The sequence below is a fragment of the Homo sapiens genome, chromosome 1 (genome assembly GCF_000001405.40).
Source record: "Homo sapiens chromosome 1, GRCh38.p14 Primary Assembly".
Classification (NCBI taxonomy): Eukaryota; Metazoa; Chordata; class Mammalia; order Primates; family Hominidae; genus Homo; species Homo sapiens.
In genome coordinates, this window is record NC_000001.11 from 27210434 (window position 1) to 27212146 (window position 1713).

Sequence of the window (1713 nt, forward strand, 5' to 3'; positions counted from 1 at the left end):
AAAAGTTCATGGGTATCTGTCTTCAGGGTGGATCTGAGAGCTCAAAGTTTGTCATCAGCTCTCTCTATCTCTCTCCTTTGCTCCCTCCTGCACCTCCCACCCTGCAACATCGCAGCTCTGCTCTGCGTTGATCTGTCCTCAGGTGACCTCCCACCCAGCATTGGCAAGGTGGCTACGGTAGCTCCAGGGTTATATCCTCATAGCTACCAGCCCAGAGGAAAGAGATACCTCTTTGCCATTGTTGTAGGAAACTTACATATGCAGCCTAGAATCCAGGAGGTGAAGCCAAGTTCCCCAAACCTCGTGGACTGAATGTGTGGGAGGCATGGACCCTTAAGGAAAATCCAGGTGTTCTTCAAAGAAGAAAAGAGATCAGATGCTGGATAGAAAAACAAGCTAACAAAAATTTGAAGTCTGGGACTGGGCATGGTGCCTCAGCACTTTGGGAGGCTGAGGCAGGAGGATCGCTTGAGCCTAGGAGTTTAAAACCAGCCTGGGTAACATAGCAAGACCCCATATCTATAAAAAACAAAACAAAACAAAACAAAAAAAGAAAGAAAGAAAGAAAATAAAGTCCACTATACTACGTAACTTTGTAAATTATCTTAGCTCTCTGAGCCTCAGTTTCCTTGTATGTAAATGACAATCCATGACGGTGCCCACACAATAAAACCGTGGTAAGGATTAAATGAGTTAAACATCTATTACTGACGTTTAGCACCATACCAGGCAAACAGTAAGTACTCAAGAAATGTTAGTTATTATTCTGGAAGTTGCTCTCTGAGGTAGCGTGTGGGTCAGTGTCCTCTTTGTGAGATTTCATTTCGGTGTACCGCAGCCAGGGCCAGAAAGTGCAGAAGGTTATGGTACAGCCCATCAACCTCTCTTCAGATATTTACAAAACAGATCCCGGATTCAGGTATGGCTCTATGAGCAAGTGAATATGCGGATAGAAGGCTGTATCATTGGTTTTGATGAATATATAAACCTTGTATTAGATGATGCAGAAGGGATTCATTCTAAAACAAAGTCAAGAAAACAACTGGGTTGATATTTCTTTTTTTTCTTTTCTTTTTTTTTTTTTTGAGACGGAGTTTCGCTCTTGTTGCCCAGGCTGGAGTGCAACGGTGCAATCTCAGCTCACCACAACCTCCGCCTCCTGGGTTCAAGCGATTCTGCTGCCTCAGCCTCCCGAGAAGCTGAGATTACCAGTGTGCGCCACCACACCCGGCTAATTTTGTATTTTTAGTGGAGATGGTGTTACTCCATGTTGGTCAGGCTGGCCTCGAACTCCCAATCTCAGGTGATCTGCCCGCCTTGGCCTCCCAAAAAGTGCTGGAATTACAGGCGTGAGCCACCACGCCCGGCCTAGACTTTCTATCATCTTCTTCTAACAGCAATCCCTCTTCTCTGTGTAGTATTTTACGGTATACAAAGAGACTTCACCTGCATTTTTAAAATTTGATCCTCACAATAACATTCTAACTTTTTGCAAAGGTTACACAGTTGGAGAACTGGAAACTCAAGGAACCATGCATCCATCCACTTCCTCCACAAATATGAAGTGTATACCACATTCTGTGGGGAATGGCTCCTCCTCATGCTCCAGCTTCCTTCCATATTTCCACTCATCTATACCCTAGAGCAGGGTTTTTCAAGTTGCAGGTCATTATTCATTAGCAGGTCATGAAATCAATTTAGTGAGCCATTATC

The 1713-nt window shown here is 44.2% G+C and overlaps 1 pseudogene; it reads left to right on the top strand.

The window, feature by feature from the left end:
* Positions 762-1048, top strand: SNRPEP7 (SNRPE pseudogene 7; annotated as a pseudogene).